Genomic DNA, 17,534 nt, shown 5'->3' on the forward strand with positions numbered 1-17,534 from the left:
CTGTAGTTACCCTGGTGTGCTGTCAAATACTATATCTTATTCATACTATCTAACTATATTTTTGTCCCCACTAACTATCCCTACTATCCCCTTCCCCTGCCCACTATCTTTCCCAGCCTCTGGTGACCATCATTCTACTCTCTATCTCCATGAGTTCAATTTTTAATTTTTAGCTCCCACAAATGAGTGAGAACACGTGAAGTTTGTCATTCTGTGCCTGGCTTATTTCACTTAACATAATGCCCTCTAGTTCCATGCATGTTGTTGCAAATAGCAGTATCTCATTCTTTTTATGGCTGAATAGTACTCCATTGTGTATGTATACCACATTGTCTTTATCCATTCATTGATTGATGGACATTTAGGTTGCTTCCAAATCTTGGCTATTATCAACAGTGCTGCAATAAACATGGGAGTGCAGATATCTCTTCAATATATGAATTTCCTTTCTTTTGGGTATATATCTAGTGGCAGGATTGCTGGATCATATGGTAGCTCTATTTTTTTTTTTTTTTTTTTTTTTTTTGAGACGGAGTCTTGCTCAGTCATCCAGGCTGGAGTGCAGTTGTGCGATCTCCCCTCACTCAAGCTCCGCCTCCCGGGTTCACGCCATTCTCCTGCCTAGCCTCCTGAGTAGCTGGGTCTATAGGCACCTGTCACCATGCCCGGCTAATTTTTTTTTTGTATTTTTAGTAGAGACAGGGTTTCACCATGTTAGCCAGGATGGTCTCGATCTCCTGACCTCGTGATCCACCCGCCTCAGCCTCCCAAAGTGGTAGCTCTGTTTTTATTTTCTTGAGGAAACTCCATACTTTTCTCCATAGTAGCTGTACTACTTTACATTCCCACCAACAGCATATGAGGGTTCTCTTTTCTCCACATCCTCACCAGCACTTGTTATTGCATGTCCTTTGGATAAAAGCCATTTTATTTTTATTTTATTATTATTATTATTTTTGGGACAGAGTTTCACTCTTGTTGCCTGGGCTGGAGTGCAATGGTGCGATTTCGGCTCACTGCAACCTCCACCTCCTGGGTTCAAGCAATTCTACTGCCTCAGCCTCCCGAGTAGCTGGGATTACAGGCACCCGCCACCACACCCGGCTAATTTTGTATTTTTAGTAGAGATTGGGGTTTCTCCATGTTGGTCAGGCTGGTCTCGAACTCCTGACCTCAGGTGATCCACCTGCCTCGGCCTCCCAAAGTGCTGGGATTACAGGCATAAGCCACTGGGCCCAGCTTCCTAAAACCCCTTTTTAACTGGGGTGAGATGATATCTCATTGTAGTTTTGATTTGCATTTCTCTGAGGATCAGTGATGTTGAGCACCTTTTCACATATCTGTTGGCCATTTGTATGTCTTCTTTTGAGAAATGTCTATTCAGATCTTTTGCCCATTTAAAAAATCAGATTAGATTTTCTTCCTGTTGTTTGAGCTCCTTGTATATTATTAATCCCTTGTCAGATGGATAGTTTGCAAATTTTTTTCCCATGCTGTGGGTTGTCCCTTCACTTTGTTGATTGTTTCCTTTGCTGTGCTCCAGAAGCTTTTTAACTTGATGTGATCCCATTTATCCATTTCTGCTTTCATTACCTGGGATGTTGGGGTATTTATTACTCAAGAAATCTTTGTCCAGACCAATATCCTGGTCTTTAATCTTTTTTTTTTTTCTTCCCTGGCTGGAATGCAATGGCGCGATCTTGGCTCACTGCAACTTCCGCCTCCCAGGTTCAAGTGATTCTCCTGCCTCAGCCTCCAAGTTGCTGGGATTACAGGCTCGCACCGCCATGCCTGGCTAATGTTTTTCATATTTTATTTTTTGAGACGGAGTCTTGCTCTGTCGCCAGGCTGGAGTGCAGTGGTGTGATCTCGGCTTACTGCAACCTCCACCTCCTGGGTTCAAGTGATTCTCCTGCCTTAGCCTCCAAAGTAGCTGGGACTACAGGCGCGTGCCACCATGCCCAGCTAATTTTTGTATTTTTAGTAGAGATGGGGTTTCACCATGTTGGCCAGGATGGTCTCGATCTCTTGAACTCGTGATCCACCCGCCTCGACCTCCCAAAGTGCTGGGATTACAGGCGTGAGCCACCGTGCCCCGCCGTTTTGTTTTGTTTTTTTTTTGAGACAGTCTTGCTCTGTTGCCCAAGCTGGAGTGCAGTGGCATGATCTTGGCTCACTGCAGCCTCTGTCTTCCAAGTTCAAGCGATCCTCCCGCCTCAGCTTCCAGAGTTTCTGGGATTACAGGCACATGCCACCACACCCAGCTAATTTTTGTATTTTAGTAGAGACGGGGTTTCTCCATGTTGGCCAGGCTGGTCTCAAACTCCAGACTTCAGCTGATCCACCTGCCTCTGCCTCCCAAAGTGCTGGGATTATAGGCATGAGCCACAATGCCTGGCCTCATTTTGATTTGATTTTTGTATATGGTGAGATGTAGGGGTTTAGTTTCAGTCTGCATGTGGATATTGTTCTCCCAGCACCATCTACTGAAGAGACTATCGTTTCCCCAATGTATGTTCTTGGCACCTTTGTTGAAAATGAGTTCACTGTAGATGTACGGATGTATTTCCAGGTTCTCTATTCTGTTCCATCGGTTGATGTGTCTGTTTTTATGCCAGTACCATGCAGTTTTGGTTACTATAGCTCAGCAGTATAATTTGAAGTCAGGTAATGTGATTTCTCCAGTTTTGTTCTTTTTGCTTAGGATGGCTTTGGATATTCTGGGTCTTTTGTGGCTATTTTAGGGCTATTTTTTCTATTTCTGTGAATAATGTCATTGGTATTTTTATAGGGATTGCATTGAACCTGTGGTTTATTTCTGTAGTTTACACTTAAAAGTAAGATGACAGAATGTCTACACAGAATCCTCACAGATATAAAGTATAGATATTGCCCATCACATTTTCAGTTGAATGAAAATGGGATGGAAATAGGAATAGAAAATCTATTTTCTATAAAGTAGGAATAGAAAATCATAGCCTGTACTAGAGACCATGGAGAAATTAAGGGTCCAATGAAGGGAGGTAATATACACAGTTTTAACACATTTCACCAAGGCAATAAGTCATTTCTCTTATAACACACAAACAAGAGTAGGGCTAAAAATAGGAAGAAGAAAACAAAATCTCAAAAACTGGCTGTTCTGTAAAAAATGAGTAAAATATGGTTAAAAAAAAAAAGTGCTGCCCAATACCCACTCTCACCAGGTCTGTGGTCTGCATATGCAATAAGAAAATAAGATGGCCCAGGCGCAGTGGCTCATGCCTATAATCCCAGCACTTTGGGAGGCCAAGGCGGGCGGATCACAAGTTCAAGAGATCGAGACCATCCTGGCCAACATGGTGAAACCCTGTCTCTACTAAAAATACAAAAATTAGCTGGGCGTGGTGGTGTGCACCTGTAGTCCCAGCTACTCAGGAGGCTGAGGCAGGAGAATCACTTGAACCCAGGAGGCAGAGGTTGCAGTGAGCCAAGATCGCGCCACGGCACTCCGGCCTGGCGACAGAGGGAGACTCCGTCTCAAATAAAATAAAATAAAATAGATATAAAAAATATTGTGAGATAGGTATGTCACCTTTATCTGCAGATTATATAACTATAGAGCCCAAAAGAATCTATCACCTTATAAGCAGAACTCTAATAAATTTTCAGGTATTACTAGCATATTTTAAGTATTGTGAGACATCACAGTAGATGGTGTTATTATTAGATATTAGAGAGTCAAGAGGATGAAGAGTTATAAAAGAAACCTCAAGATGTGTTAATGAATTCCATTCAGTGTCAATTGTTTATTCATGTAGGATACTCTGCATTTAAACTGAATGAAATTCAAAATATAATCCTAATGGGGTTTTCATTGGAAAATAAATGAGTCAAAAATTCTCATGAAGAAACATCTTTATTTCCAAATAATAAACTATATATTAATAATATATACATACATCTTTATTTCCAAGTAATAAAAGCTATTGAAAAGTGTCAAGGATTGCTAGAATATGGAGAACAGAAATAGATGTGAGCATTTAATATACAACTGATAGTATTTTAATTCAGTAGGAGAAAGGTGAATAATAGTTACTTCTGGCATAACTGGTTTTATTCCTGGATAGAAACAAGTCTGACATCCTGCATTAGATCGTATAATCAATTCCTGATGTATTAAAATATTAAATCTCTGTGTATACACACTCACAGAATCACATATATGAAAAACTGCACTCCACTCCTTTATTCTCTTGCCCTCTGAAATCTTCCAGAAGCAAAACCTTCCTAGGAAACATAGAAAACACTGGAAATGACGCCGGGTGCGGTGGCTCATGCCTATAATGCCAGCACTTTGGGAGGCCGAGGAGGGTGGATCACCTGAGGTCAGGAGTTCGAGACCAGCCTGACCAACATGGAAAAATGCCGTCTCTACTAAAAATACAAAATTTTCCAGGCGTAGTGGCATATACCTGTAACCCCAGCTACTTGGGAGGCTGAGGCAGGAGAATCTCTTGAACCCGGGAGGCGGAGATTGCAGTAAGCCAAGATTGCGCCATTGCACTCCAGCCTGGGAAACAAGAGTGAAACTCTGTCTCAAAACAAAACAAAGCAAAAACACTGGAAATGACTTGGGAAGCTTATTTTATAGAAATAAAACAGACAAGAATACAAAGTGTTTGTTGCAGCATTACTTTTAGATGGCAAAAAAGCGCAAACAATCCATAATATCACAATTGGGAAAGTGGTTGAAAAGGCATTGGTAAATAACACTGTGGAACATACTGTAACCATCAGAAAGACTGTTAGATCATCATCTATTGAAGGAAAATCCAAAATGTACAGTTGAATGTAAAAAAGCAAATTTCAGGGAAATGTATAGTTATCCATTTTTCTGTAAAAACATAATAAAATAATTGTGTGTTAATGTTTTAGCATGAAGAAATATATGGGTAATATACACAACCTTTAAATATTATTCAGAAGAAAATTGACAGAGGGGAGGGAATGAGGAACGGAGAAGGGCAAAGATAATCATTTTTTCTTTCTTTTTTTTTTTTTTTTTTGAGACAGATTTTTTGAGACTCTGTCATGCAGGCTGGAGTGCAGTCAGGATCTCAGCTCACTGCAACCTCCGCCTCCCGGGTTCAAGCGATTCTCCTGCCTCAGCCTTCCGAGCAGCTGGGACTACAGGCACATGCCACCACGCCCAGCTAATTTTTGTATTTTTAGTAGAGATGGGGTTTCACTATATTGGCCAGGCTGCCCCCTGCCTTGGCCTCCCAAAGCACTGGGATTACAGGCGTAAGCCACTGTGCCCAGCCCCTTTTCTTTCTCTTTAATGGTATTGTTTCATTAATTTGGGTGCAAATGCACTATCTCTATAATTTTAGATGAAGAACTTTATAAAAGACATAAGCACACAAGAAAAGAAAGTAAACAAAATCTCATTTGGCAGTTTTCATTTTGATAACGCAAAACATTACAACAGTCCATTTTTAGTAATTCTCTCATTTGCAGGTATTTTTGCTCACTCTACTTTTCTCAAATTTATTATGAAATATTTTACTTCCTTATGCCAGTAAAGTAAAGTAACACAATGTTCAGAGAGACCCGTCTACACAGGATCTAAGAAAAAAGGAAGTGGGGCATAAAATAACAGTTCTACAGACATAAACTTCATCCTTCCACATATGCGATCTGTCCAGCGTGGGGAGCTGCTTGCTGAGCATGTTTTGAGCACAGGGAAGGCCCATTTCAAAACACTAACTTAACCCCAAACAAAGCTACACTGTGGACTTTTTTTTTTTTTTTTTAATAGTCTCATTCTGTCGCTCAGGCTGAAGTGCCATGGCGTGATCTTGGCTCACTGCAACCTCCACCTCCTGCATTCAAGTGATTCTCCTGCCTCAGCCTCCCCAGTAGCTGGGATTACAGGCATGTGCCACCATGCCTGGCTAAGTTTTGTATTTTTGAGTAAAAATGGGGTTTCAACATGTTGGCCAGGCTGGTCTCAAGCTCCTGGCCTCAAATGATCCTTCCATCTCAGCCTCCCAAAGTGCTGGGATTACAGGCGTGAGCCAAGATGTGTACTTCTATATAACTGAAATAGTTCCTTGAACATTTGATAAAGTTTTCCTTAGAAAGAAACTGGATTTGGTGCTTCATTAGTAATAGTTAACTGATCACATGCTAATTTTTCCCTGTTCTCTGTGTTTATGAGAGTCTTTGAAGAGTCCTAATTTTCTTGGAGTCAATATTGATGTATATTTTCCTTAAAAACCATTTTGTTTAAATTTTCAAACATATTAGAAAAAAGCATAATATTCAACAGAACCTTTTAAATCTGTAACTATGTTTCTATCTCTGTCCATTTTTTAAATATGATGCTGTTTCTCTTTTCATACTTTTTTTCCTCATTAGTGCACCAATATTTTGCTTATGTTCTCTTTTCTTTTTTACTGGGTATATAATGCGACAAAAAGAGTATTAGTCGGAATAAAGTCCTTCACACACATTATTCACAGTACTTTCCCCCCCAACACCTAGGATTATTTCATGTTCAATAGTAAGTACATGATGATGGGAAATTTTCTTAACTTGTTACCTTCAAAGGGTCTTTCTTCAGTCAAACACCCTGCCTAATGGTGACTAAGTTCTGCAGAAGTTAAAAAGCCTTTCTACAAATAATAATACTGATGATGATGAATATAATAACGATGACTAACATTCAGTGAGTATGTATTTATCATGTCAGGCACAATTCTAAGCACTTTATCGATCTTAATTCATTTAATCCTCACAAAGCATTATGAGGTAGGTATTATAATTATCCCCCATTTTATAATTTTTACTGAGACACGCATGTATATATGAACAGAAAAATGATCAGCAATAAATAATGAACTGATAAAGACTATCCTTTGGGATATGGTCAAAGGGTACATTTGCCTTTTTGTAATGTTTGCATCTTTTATAAGGAAAATATATTCACACATTACTTCTGCAATTAAAAGATATGATACAAAGATGTGCTTAGGGAGAATGTCCAGCAGGGACTTGTATTTTGGCATGTATTATGGCAAAATATCTAGAGGAGACTACGATATCCACCAATAGGATTTCATAAGTGATATTACAGTAACACAACAAAACACCATGAAGATAATGAAGAATCTCTATTGAGTAAAATGTCGTTCATGAACATTTTTACAATAAGAAAGCCTTAATGTTATAAAGAACAAAAAGAATAAGCCATCTTCAAAAATAAAGAGGTCACTTCTCCCAGGTACTAAAGGTATTTTTAAAATAGTATACAAATCAGGATGTAAACAGATGAAATTTATAGCCATATAAATTTAATATGGATTAAAATACTAAGAATGTAACAATTAGAGAAATTAGGGGAAAAAATGACAATCACAGGACTACATTTCTACAAAAATTCTCTGACGTTAAGAAGGTTAGAAAGGTGTTAAAAGTGCTGTCATTTTCAGTATGACAGACTGAATTATCTATCATATTGCTAGACTGAATTATCTGATGTCAAGAGAAGTAAGCGTTTAGTTAAGGGCTTCCAAAGTATATTCTATTCATAGAGTATTTCTCCAACATTATTTTTCCCAGGCTGAATAAGCTGTAGTCCACAAATAAAATGTTTCTACATTATTCTATCTAGAGGAATTATTAACAAGATAAATTCTGTTTTGAGCCATAATTAAAAGCCTCCCTACACATTTCATATATTCTGTTTCATCACCAGTACAAATTTTGATGCTGAATAAGTTGTGGGTCATAATTAAAGTTCTTTCCACATTCCCTATATTCATAGGGTTTCTCACTAGTATGAATTCTATGATGACTAATAAGCTGTGAACTCTGAGAATAAGCCTTCCCACATATCTTACATTCATAGGGTTTCTCCCCAGTATGAATTCTCTGATGTCTAGTAAGGTCTGAGCCAGAACGAAAAGCCTTTTCACATTCCTTACATTCGTAAGGTTTCTCACCTGTATGGATTCTTTGATGTTTAATAAGTTGTGAGCTCTGACTAAAGGCATTGCCACATTCCTTACATTCATAGGGTTTTTCCCCAGTATGAATTCTCTGATGTTGAGTAAAGTTTGAGCCACTACTAAAGGCCTTCCCGCATTCTTTGCATTCATAAGGCTTCTCACCTGTGTGAATTCTCTGATGTCGAGTGAAGTTTGAACCACTACTAAAGGCTTTCCCACATTCCTTACATTCATAGGGTTTCTCACCAGTGTGAATTCTGTGATGTCGAGTAAGGTCTGAGCCACAAATAAAGGTTTTTCCACATTCCTTACATTCAAAGGGTTTCTTGCCAGTATGAATTTTCTGATGATGAGTGAGTCTTGAGGGATGTCTAAAGGACTTTCCACATTCCTTACATTCATAAGGCTTCTCAATGGTATGAATTATCTCATGTGTAGCAAACTGTGAGCCATGTCTAAAGGTTTTCCTATATTCTTTAGATGCACAGAATTTCTTTTTACTGTTAATGATTTGCTGTAATGTGAAGGATGGATGGTGACTCAAAGTGGGCAGATCTTCATGAGTGAATACCAATTGATTGAAATGTCCCCCCTGAGAGCCGAGTTCTTTCTTAAACTGCCGATTACATTCCCAATCATCTCTGAAACTGGAGCACTGAAAATCACGTCTTGTGAGTTTTTCCATTATTTCCCACTGGGTTGATTCTATTTCATAAATTTCTTTCTTCAGAAATAATTTCTTGGTCTCACATCTTGATTCCAGGACTGAAAGAAAATATGAAAGTAATCACTCACATTTTTCTTGTTTGGGAGAAACAAAACTTCAATCAATATGGGAGAATTTAACCGAATTTTTTTTACAAATGGATGAGGAAAAAAGAGAGTTAGAAGACAGGTTACATAATAAGATGAGGGTAGTGATTAGGAAAACAAAGTAAGTCACTGGTTCCCAAACATTGCTATAGATCAGAATTACTTTGGGAAGCCTGCTAAATATACACATGCTTTAGTCCTATCTCCCTTGTTAAAGGATGACTCTAATCATACACACACAAAATATCTCATTGCATATATACACACAGACATATAATAGCATCTCATAGTATGAATTATAAAATAAGGGAAATGGCCAGGCATGGTGGCTCACATCTGTAATCCCAGCACCTTGGGCGGGTGAGGCAGGCAGATCACTTGGTCAGGAGTTTGAGATCAGCCTGGCTAACATGGTGAAACCTGTCTCTACTAAAAATATAAAAATCTAGTGGGGCATGGTGGTGTGTGCCTGTAATCCCAGCTACTGGGGAGGCCGAGGCACGAGAATTGCTTGAACCCGGGAGGCAGAGGTTGCAGTGAGCCGAGATTGCCACTGCACTCCAGCCTGGGCAACAGAGTGAGTCACTGTCTCAATAGATAGATAAATAAATAAATAAATAAATAAAGGAATGATCACACTGTTAACAGGGCTATTGTCGGATGAAATGAATATGCCTAATGGAAAATTCCCAGAGATCAGTAAACTATGGCCTATGGCCCTGCACCCATTTTTATAAATGAAGTTTTATTAGCCATACTTGTTACGTATTGTCTATGGATGCTTTTGCGCTAAAAGGGCAGAAGTGAGTAGTTATGATAGAGAATGTGTGAACTGCAAACCTAAAATACTTACTATTTGCCTTTCAAGAAAAAGTTTGCCAGCCCCTGGTTAGATATGCATCGTCTAATACAGTAGCCGCTAGCTACATGTGGCTTTTAAAATTTCAAATAATTTAAGTAAAATGTGCATTTCATTTTGAAATAAACAGCTGAATTTGAAAATTCAGTTTCTCAGTCACATTATTCACATTTCCAATGTTCAACAGCCAAATGTGGCTGGTAGCTTTTGTACTGGAAGTCTGTACGAAATATCACAAATATAAAACATTTCCATCACCACTGAATGTTCTCTTGGATAGCCCTGGTCTGGATTCTGTAACAGGAGGGCCAGAGCACTTTAAAAAATGATAAGGAACTAGAGGGTGACAATCCAGAAAAAAGCCTAGCTTAAGAAAAGTCAAGTGTGGAATGAACATAGTATGAGTGGTAGATAGGACTCATTTGTGGACAGATATGGTATATGTTTGGGGTTTGATGAAAATAGTGTTTGTCGTGTAATTCTGAGATGCTGACCTTTGTTAAAGAGAAGAGGGGACTTAACAAGTACATGATCACTATAGTAGTAATGACTGACTGGCAGAAAAGACATTTGTAGGTTCAAGAGAAGGGGAGAGAGTAAAATGGAAGGCAGTGTATGGTACTGACAGATCAGAGATACTAGATTCAGTTACATGCGTTTTATACTCAAACTTGAATAATTATAAGCTTTGTTTTCTTGGGCAAATTAGTTCAACCTTCCAAACCTGCAGTTCTCTGTCTAATACAATAGGAATGATAGCCCTTACAACTGTTGTGAGGATTGGGATTAATGTTTGTAAATACTATGGAAGAATTTCTGCCAGGCACAGTGGCTCACGCCTGTAATCCCAGCACTCTGCGGGGCCGAGGCGGGCCGATCACGAGGTCAGGAGTTTGAGACCAGCCTGACCAACATGGTGAAACCCTATCTCTACTAAAAATACAAAAATTAGCCGGGTGTGGTAGCACATGCACTGTAATCCCAGCTACTCAGGAGGCTGAGGCAGAAGAATTGCTTGAACCCAGGAGGTGGAGATTGCAGTGAGCCAAGATCACACCACTGCACTCCAGCCTAGGGAACAGAGCGAGACTCCATCTCAAAAAAAACAAACAAACAACAAAAAAAAGAATTTCCATACAAAAATGGGGACATTAGGCCCGACCCCTTGACTCGTTAAAAAAAAAAAAGGGAGAATAGTTAGAAGACTTGAAAGTCACTGACTCTTAGACAAGGAAATGGAGGGGTAAGGAAGGTACAGCTTTGTAAACTATTATAATATACATGTAATACAAATAAATTTTTACAAGAAATAATTTGGTCTGGTTACAGAGGGACAGGATCTCATCTAGTATTCTTATCAGTTACCCATAGAGAAAGAAATGACTACGGAATGAGATATGATGAAAAGAAAAAATGAGTATAGCAAGGTGGTTGAGAAAACTGAAGGCTTTAGGGTTGTAAAAGAGGTCTGAATTCCAGACTTTTTAACTAGCTGAGAGGCATAACCAAATTATGAAACCTCAATGAATATTGTTTTTATCATCTGTAAATCTGTCAAGTGTATGACACTAGTAGGTACTCAATATTTTAGTGGAATAGTGTTATGAATTAAGTAGGGAAGATAGTTTGAAATCATACTAGATCATATGGTAAAAACGTACATCATGCAATCTTTCTCTGATAGCTATAAGGCATTTAATCTGATCACTGAATCCTAAACAAACAAAAGACGTGAGAGGAAATCAACACTAGATTTAACTTGTAAGAAACATCAAAAAGAGTTCTTCAAGTAGAAAGAAAAGGACACTAACAATATAAAAATATAAAACTCACTGTAAAGGCAGGAATATAGTTATATTGAGAACACTCTGATAATGTAATAATAGTGTATAAATCACTTTTAACTCTAGTATAAAAGTTAGAAGACAAGGCTGGGCACGGTGGCTCACACCTGTAATCCTAGCACTTTGGGAGGCCAAAGCGGGCAGATCACTAGGTCAGGAGTTCGAGACCAGCCTGCCCAATATGGTGAAACCCTGTCTCTACTAAAAATATAAAAATTAGCTGGGTATGGTGGCGTGTGCCTGTAATCCCAGCTACTCAGCAGGGTGAGGCAGGAGAACTGCTTGAACCCGGGAGGTGGAGGTTGCAGTGAGCTGAAATCTTGCCACTGTACTCCAGCCTGGGCAACAGAGCAAGACTCTGTCTCAAAAAAAAAACAAAAAAACAAAAAAACAAACAAAAAAAAAGTTAAAAGACAAAGGTACTAAAAATAAATAAACTGGCGGGGCGCTGGTGGCTCACATGTGTAATCTCAGGACTTTGGGAGGCCGAGGTGTGCAGATCACGAGGTCAAGAGATTGAGACCATCCTGGCCAACATTGTGAAACCCTGTCTCTACTAAAAATACAAAAGTTAGCTGGCTGTGGTGGTGTACGCCTGTACTCCCGGCTACTCAGGAGGCTGAGGCAGGAGAATCACTTGAACCCAGGAGGCAGAGGTTGCAGTGAGCCGAGATCGCGCCACTGCACTCCAGCCTGGGTGACAGTGTGAGACTCTATCTCAAATAAATAAATAAATAAATAAATAAATAAATAAATTAATTAATTAAAATAAAATAAAAATAAAAATAAATAAACCTACAATCATTTGCTAATAGATACACAATATATAAAAGATGTACATTGTAACATCAATAATGTAATGTGGGTGGAGAAGTTAAAGTGTAGACTTTTTGTATGTGGTCAAAGTTAAGCTATTATTATTATTATTACTATTATTATTATATTTTTGAGAAACAGGGTCTTGCTCTGTAGCCCAGGCCACAGTCCTCACTGTAGCCTCAACCTCCTGGGCTCAAGGGATCCTCCTACCTCAACCTCCTGAGTAGCTGAAACTAGACATGTGCCACCACACCTGGTTAATCTTTTTTTGAGACAGATTCTTGCTCTGTCTCCCAGGCTGGAGTGCGGTGGCACAATCTCGGTTTGCTGCAACCTCTGCCTCCCAGGTTCAAGTGATTCTCCTGCCTCAGCCTCCCAAGTAGCTGGGATTACAGGCACCTGCCACCACACCTGGCTAATTTTTTGTATTTTTAGTAGAGACAAAGTTTCATCATGTTGGCCAGACTGGTTTCCAACTCCTGACCTCAAGTGATCCTTAAACATTTCGGTAGAGACAGGGTCTCACTATGTTGCTCAGGCTGGTCTCAAACTCCTGGGCTCAAGCTATCCTCCCACCTCAGCCTCCCAAAGTGCTGGGAATACAGGTGTGAGCCACCATACCCAGCCTAAAGTTAAGTTATTATTAACTTACAATAGACTGTTATAACTATGAGATGTTTTAAATATGTAAGCCTTATGGTAACCACAGAGAAAAACTCTCTAGTAGATACACTGAAGACAAAGAGAAAGACATCAAATCATACCACCATAAAAAAATCAAATCAAAAAGAAAGAGTGAGATAGGAACAAAGACACTATAAAACAGTCAGGATTAGCTCGGCAGAGGGGTGCATGACTATAGCCCCAGTAACTTGAGAGGCTGAGGCAGGAAGATTGCCTGAGCCCAGGAGTTCAAAACTGCAGTGAGTTATGGTCATGCCACTATACTCTAGCCTGGGCAATAGAGGGAGACCTCATCTTTAAAACAACAACAACAACACAAAAGAAGAATCATAAGAGACTACTATGAATAATTATATGCCAACAAATTGGATAAACTAGGAAAAAAATGGATAAATTCCTAGAAACAAAACTACCAAACCTGAATCATGAAGAAAGAGAAAATCTGAACAGACCAATTATGAGTAGGATAGTTCCATCAGTAATCAAAAACCTCCCAACAAATAAAAGACAAAGACTTGATGGCTTCACTAGTAAATTCTATCAAACACTTAAAGAAGAATTAACTCCAGTTCTCCTCAAACTCTTCCAAAATGTTGAAGACGGAACACTTCCAAACTCATTTTATGAGGATAGTATTACCCTGATACCAAAACCAGACAAAAAATCTACAAGAAAATTACAGGCCAATATCCCTGATGAACACAGATACAAAAATCCTCAACAAAATACTAGCAAATGGAATTCAACAGCACATTAAAAGGATCATGCAACATGATCAAGTGAGATTTATTCCTAGGATGCAGGGATGTTTCAATATAAGCAAAGCAATCAATGTGATACACCACATCCTAAAACCATATGATCATTTCAGTAGATATAGGAAAGTCATCTTACAAAATTCAACATACTTTCATAATCAAAACTCTCTCAACAAATTAGGTGTACAAGGAATTTACTTCAAAATAATAAAGGCCATATATGACAAACCTATAGCTAACATTATCCTCAACATTGGAAAGATAAAGGTTTTTCCCCTAAGATCAGAAACAAGACAAGGATGTCCACTCTTGACACTCTGCTCAACATAGTACCAAAAGTCCTTTTCATTCCTTTTAGGCAATAAAAAGGAATAAAAGGCATCCAAATTCAAAAAAACCCTAGGGGATCTACCATAAAACTGTTAGAAGTAATAAATGTTATTTATTTGCAACTCAGTGTGCTCCCACCTGTAATTCCCGCACTTTGGGAGGCCGAGGCGGGCAGATTACTTGAGGTCAGGAGTTTGAGACCAGCCGGGCCAACATGGCAACATCCCGTCTCTACTAAAAATACAAAAATTAGCCGGGCAATGGTGGGCACCTGTAATCCCAGTTACTCAGGAGGCTGAGGCACGAGAATCGCTTGAACCCAGGAGATGGAGGTTGCAGCGAGCCAAGATCATGCCACTGCACTCCAGCCTGGGTGACAGAGCGAGACTCTGTCTCAAAAAAAAAGAAGTAATAAGGCCTCATGCAGTGGCTTATGCCTGTAATCCCAGCACTTTGGGAGGCCAAGGTGGGCGGATCATGATGTCAGGAGATCGAGACCATCCTGGCTAACACGGTGAAACCTCTCTCTACTAAAAATACAAAAAATTAGCCAGGCATGGTGGTGGGCGCCTATAGTCCCAACTACTAGGGAGACTGAGGCAGGAGAATGGCGTGAACCCGGGAGGCCGAGCTTGCAGTGAGCCGAGATTGCACCACTGCACTCCAGACTGGGTGACAGAGCGAGACTCCATCTCAAAAAAGAAAAAAAAAAGTAATAAATGTATGTGTATTCAGTAAGATACAAAAATCGGTTGTTTCTATACACTAGCAACAGATTATCAGAAAAAGAAATCAAGAAGACAATCCCATGTATAATAACATCAAAAAGAATAAAATACTTAGGAAAAAATTTAACAAAGGAAATCTGTATATGGAAAACTATAAAACACTGATGAAAAAAATGAAGACACGCCAGGCATGGTGGCTCACGCCTGTAATCATAGCACTTTGGAAGGCCGAGGCAGGTGGATTGCCTGAGCTCAGGAGTTCAAGACCAGCCTGGGTAACACAGTGAAGCCCCATCTCTACTAAAATACAAAAAAAAAAAAAAAAAAAAAAATTAGCCGGGCGTGGCAGCATGCACCTGTAGTCCCAGATACTCGGGAGGCTGAGGCAGAAGAATTGCTTGAACCCGGGAGGCGTAGATTGCAGTGAGCTGAGATCACACCACTGCACTCCAGCATGAGCAACAGAGTGAGACTCCATCTAAAAAAAAAAAATTGCATTAAATAAAAAAGGGGGGTGGGGAGCTAGGGGAGGGATAGGATTAGAAGAAATACCTAATGTAGATGATGGGGTGATGGGTGCAGCAAACCACCATGGCATGTGTATACCTATGTAACAAGCCTGCACAATCTGCACATGTATCCCAGAACTTAAAGTATAATAAAAAATAAATGAAGACAAAAATAAATGAAAAGATATTCTGCATTCATAAATGGGAAGAATTAATATTGTTAAAATGTCCATACTACCCAAAGCAATCTACACATTCAGTGGAATCCCTAACAAAATTCCAAAGGTATTTTCACACAAATAGCAAAAACAATCCTAAAATTCATATGGAACCATAAAAGACCCTGAAGAGTCAAGGTAATCTTGAACAAGAAGAACAAAGCTGGAGGCATCACTACATCCGATAGATTTCAAAATAGATTACAAAGCTGCAGTAATCAAAACAGCACGGCACTGGCATAAAAATAGACACATCAACCAATGGAACAGAATACAGAACCAAGAACCCATACAGAACCCATGCATTTATGGTCATTGGATTTTCAATAAAGATGCCAAGAACACACAATGGGGAAAAGACAGTTCAATAAATGGTGATGAGAAACTGGATAGCCACATGCAAAAGAATGAAATTGAATTCCTATTGCATACATATACGAAAGTCAACTCAAAATGGATTAAAGACTTAAACATGAGACACAAAACTAAAAACACAGAAAAGAAAAGCAAAAAATAGAAAAATATGATTACATCAAACTCAAAAGCTTCTGCACAGCAAAGGAAACAACAGAGTGAAGAGACTATCCACAGAGTGGGATAAAATATTTTCAAACCTTGTATCTGGTAAGATGCTAATATCCAAAATGTATAAGGAACTCAACTCAGTAACAAGAAAACAAATAACCCAATTAAAAAATGGGCATTTCTCAAAAGAAGACATAGAAACAGCCAATAGGTATATGAAAAAACACTCAACATTACTAATCATCAGGAAAATGGAAATTGAAACCACAATGAAATATCACCTCATTGCTGGTTACTGTGGCTCAGGCCTGTAATCCCAGCACTTTGGGAGGCCGAGGTGGGTGGATCACTTGAGGTCAGGAGTTCGACACCAGCCTGACCAACATGATGAAATCCCATCTCTACTAAAATACAAAAATTATGTGGGCTTAGTGGAGGGCACTTGTAATCTCAGCTACTTGGGAGGCTGAAGTGGGAGAATCGCTTGAACCCCGGAGGCGGAGGTTGCAGTGAGCTGAGATTGCACCACTGCACTCCAGCCTGGGCAACAAGAGTGAGACTCCGTCTCAAAAAAATAAACAAACAAACAAAAATCCCCTCACACCTGTCAGAACTGCTATTATCAAAAGGACAAAAAATAACAAGTGTTGGAAAGGATGTGGCAAAAAGGGAATCCTTGGACACTGTTGGTGGCATAAATTGAAACAGCCATTATGGAAAACAGCATGGAGGTTTCTCAAAACTACCCTATAACTCAGCAAGCTTACTTCTGGGTATATATCCAAATGAAATCAAATCAGTATGGGGGAAAAAAAATCTGCATTCTTATGTTCATTGCAGCATCATTCATGATAGCCAAGATATGGAATCAATGGATAAATTGATAAAGAAAATGTGATGTGTGGGCATATATATGTATACACACACACATACACATATACACACACATAATGGAATGTGTGTGTATATATACAAATACACAAACACTGGAATATTAAGACTTAAAAATGAAGAAAATCCTGTTATTTTCAACAACATAGATGAAGCTGGAGGACATATGTGAAATAAGCCAGGCACAGAAAGACAGATACTGCAGTGATCTCACTTATATATGAACTCTAAAACGTTGAACTCATAGAAGAAGAGAGTAGAATGGAGGTCACCAGGGGTTGGGGGACGGAGGAAAGAAGATATTGGTCAAAGGGTACAAAGTTCTAGTTACTCAGAATAAAAAATTTCTGGAGATCTAATATACAGCATTATATATTAATAGTATGTACTGCCATGTAAGTACATACCATTAATGGTAATACCAGTACAGAACGTATACCATAGTAACTATAGTTTATAATACTGTATTGTATACTTGGAATTTATTATGGGAGTAGATCTTAATGTTCTTACCACATACACACATATACAAATTGGTAACTATGTGATGTGATAGATA

General features: G+C 39.0%; 1 protein-coding gene across 11 annotated transcripts in view, besides 1 other annotated feature; it reads right to left on the bottom strand.

Annotated features, from left to right (window-relative positions):
• Positions 1–3,879: 3,879 nt before the first annotated feature.
• The window catches only part of ZNF566 (zinc finger protein 566), a 44,443-nt gene continuing 30,788 nt past the window's right edge, over positions 3,880–17,534 (bottom strand). For 10 of the 11 annotated variants that reach the window (NM_001437586.1, NM_001437587.1, NM_001437585.1 and 7 more), the window contains one exon: positions 3,880–8,762. In NM_001437586.1, coding sequence (NP_001424515.1) covers positions 7,738–8,682 — 945 coding nt within the window. In that variant the 5' untranslated portion in view covers positions 8,683–8,762 and the 3' untranslated portion in view covers positions 3,880–7,737. Of the gene's footprint in view, positions 8,763–15,188; positions 15,305–17,534 lie in introns of those variants that run through there. The other variant, XM_047439566.1, reaches the window with a different exon arrangement.
• Positions 7,812–9,011: an enhancer, noted in NCBI's record as "P300/CBP strongly-dependent group 1 enhancer chr19:36939953-36941152 (GRCh37/hg19 assembly coordinates)". NCBI's record gives its function as "activates an origin of replication core promoter dependent on BRD2, BRD4, P300/CBP, MED14 and CDK7 cofactors, with strong dependence on P300/CBP, by STARR-seq in HCT116 cells {active_cell/tissue: HCT116}" and the evidence as "EXISTENCE:reporter gene assay evidence [ECO:0000049][PMID:35650434]".

This window comes from Homo sapiens, chromosome 19, assembly GCF_000001405.40.
Source record: "Homo sapiens chromosome 19, GRCh38.p14 Primary Assembly".
NCBI lineage: Eukaryota > Metazoa > Chordata > Mammalia > Primates > Hominidae > Homo > Homo sapiens.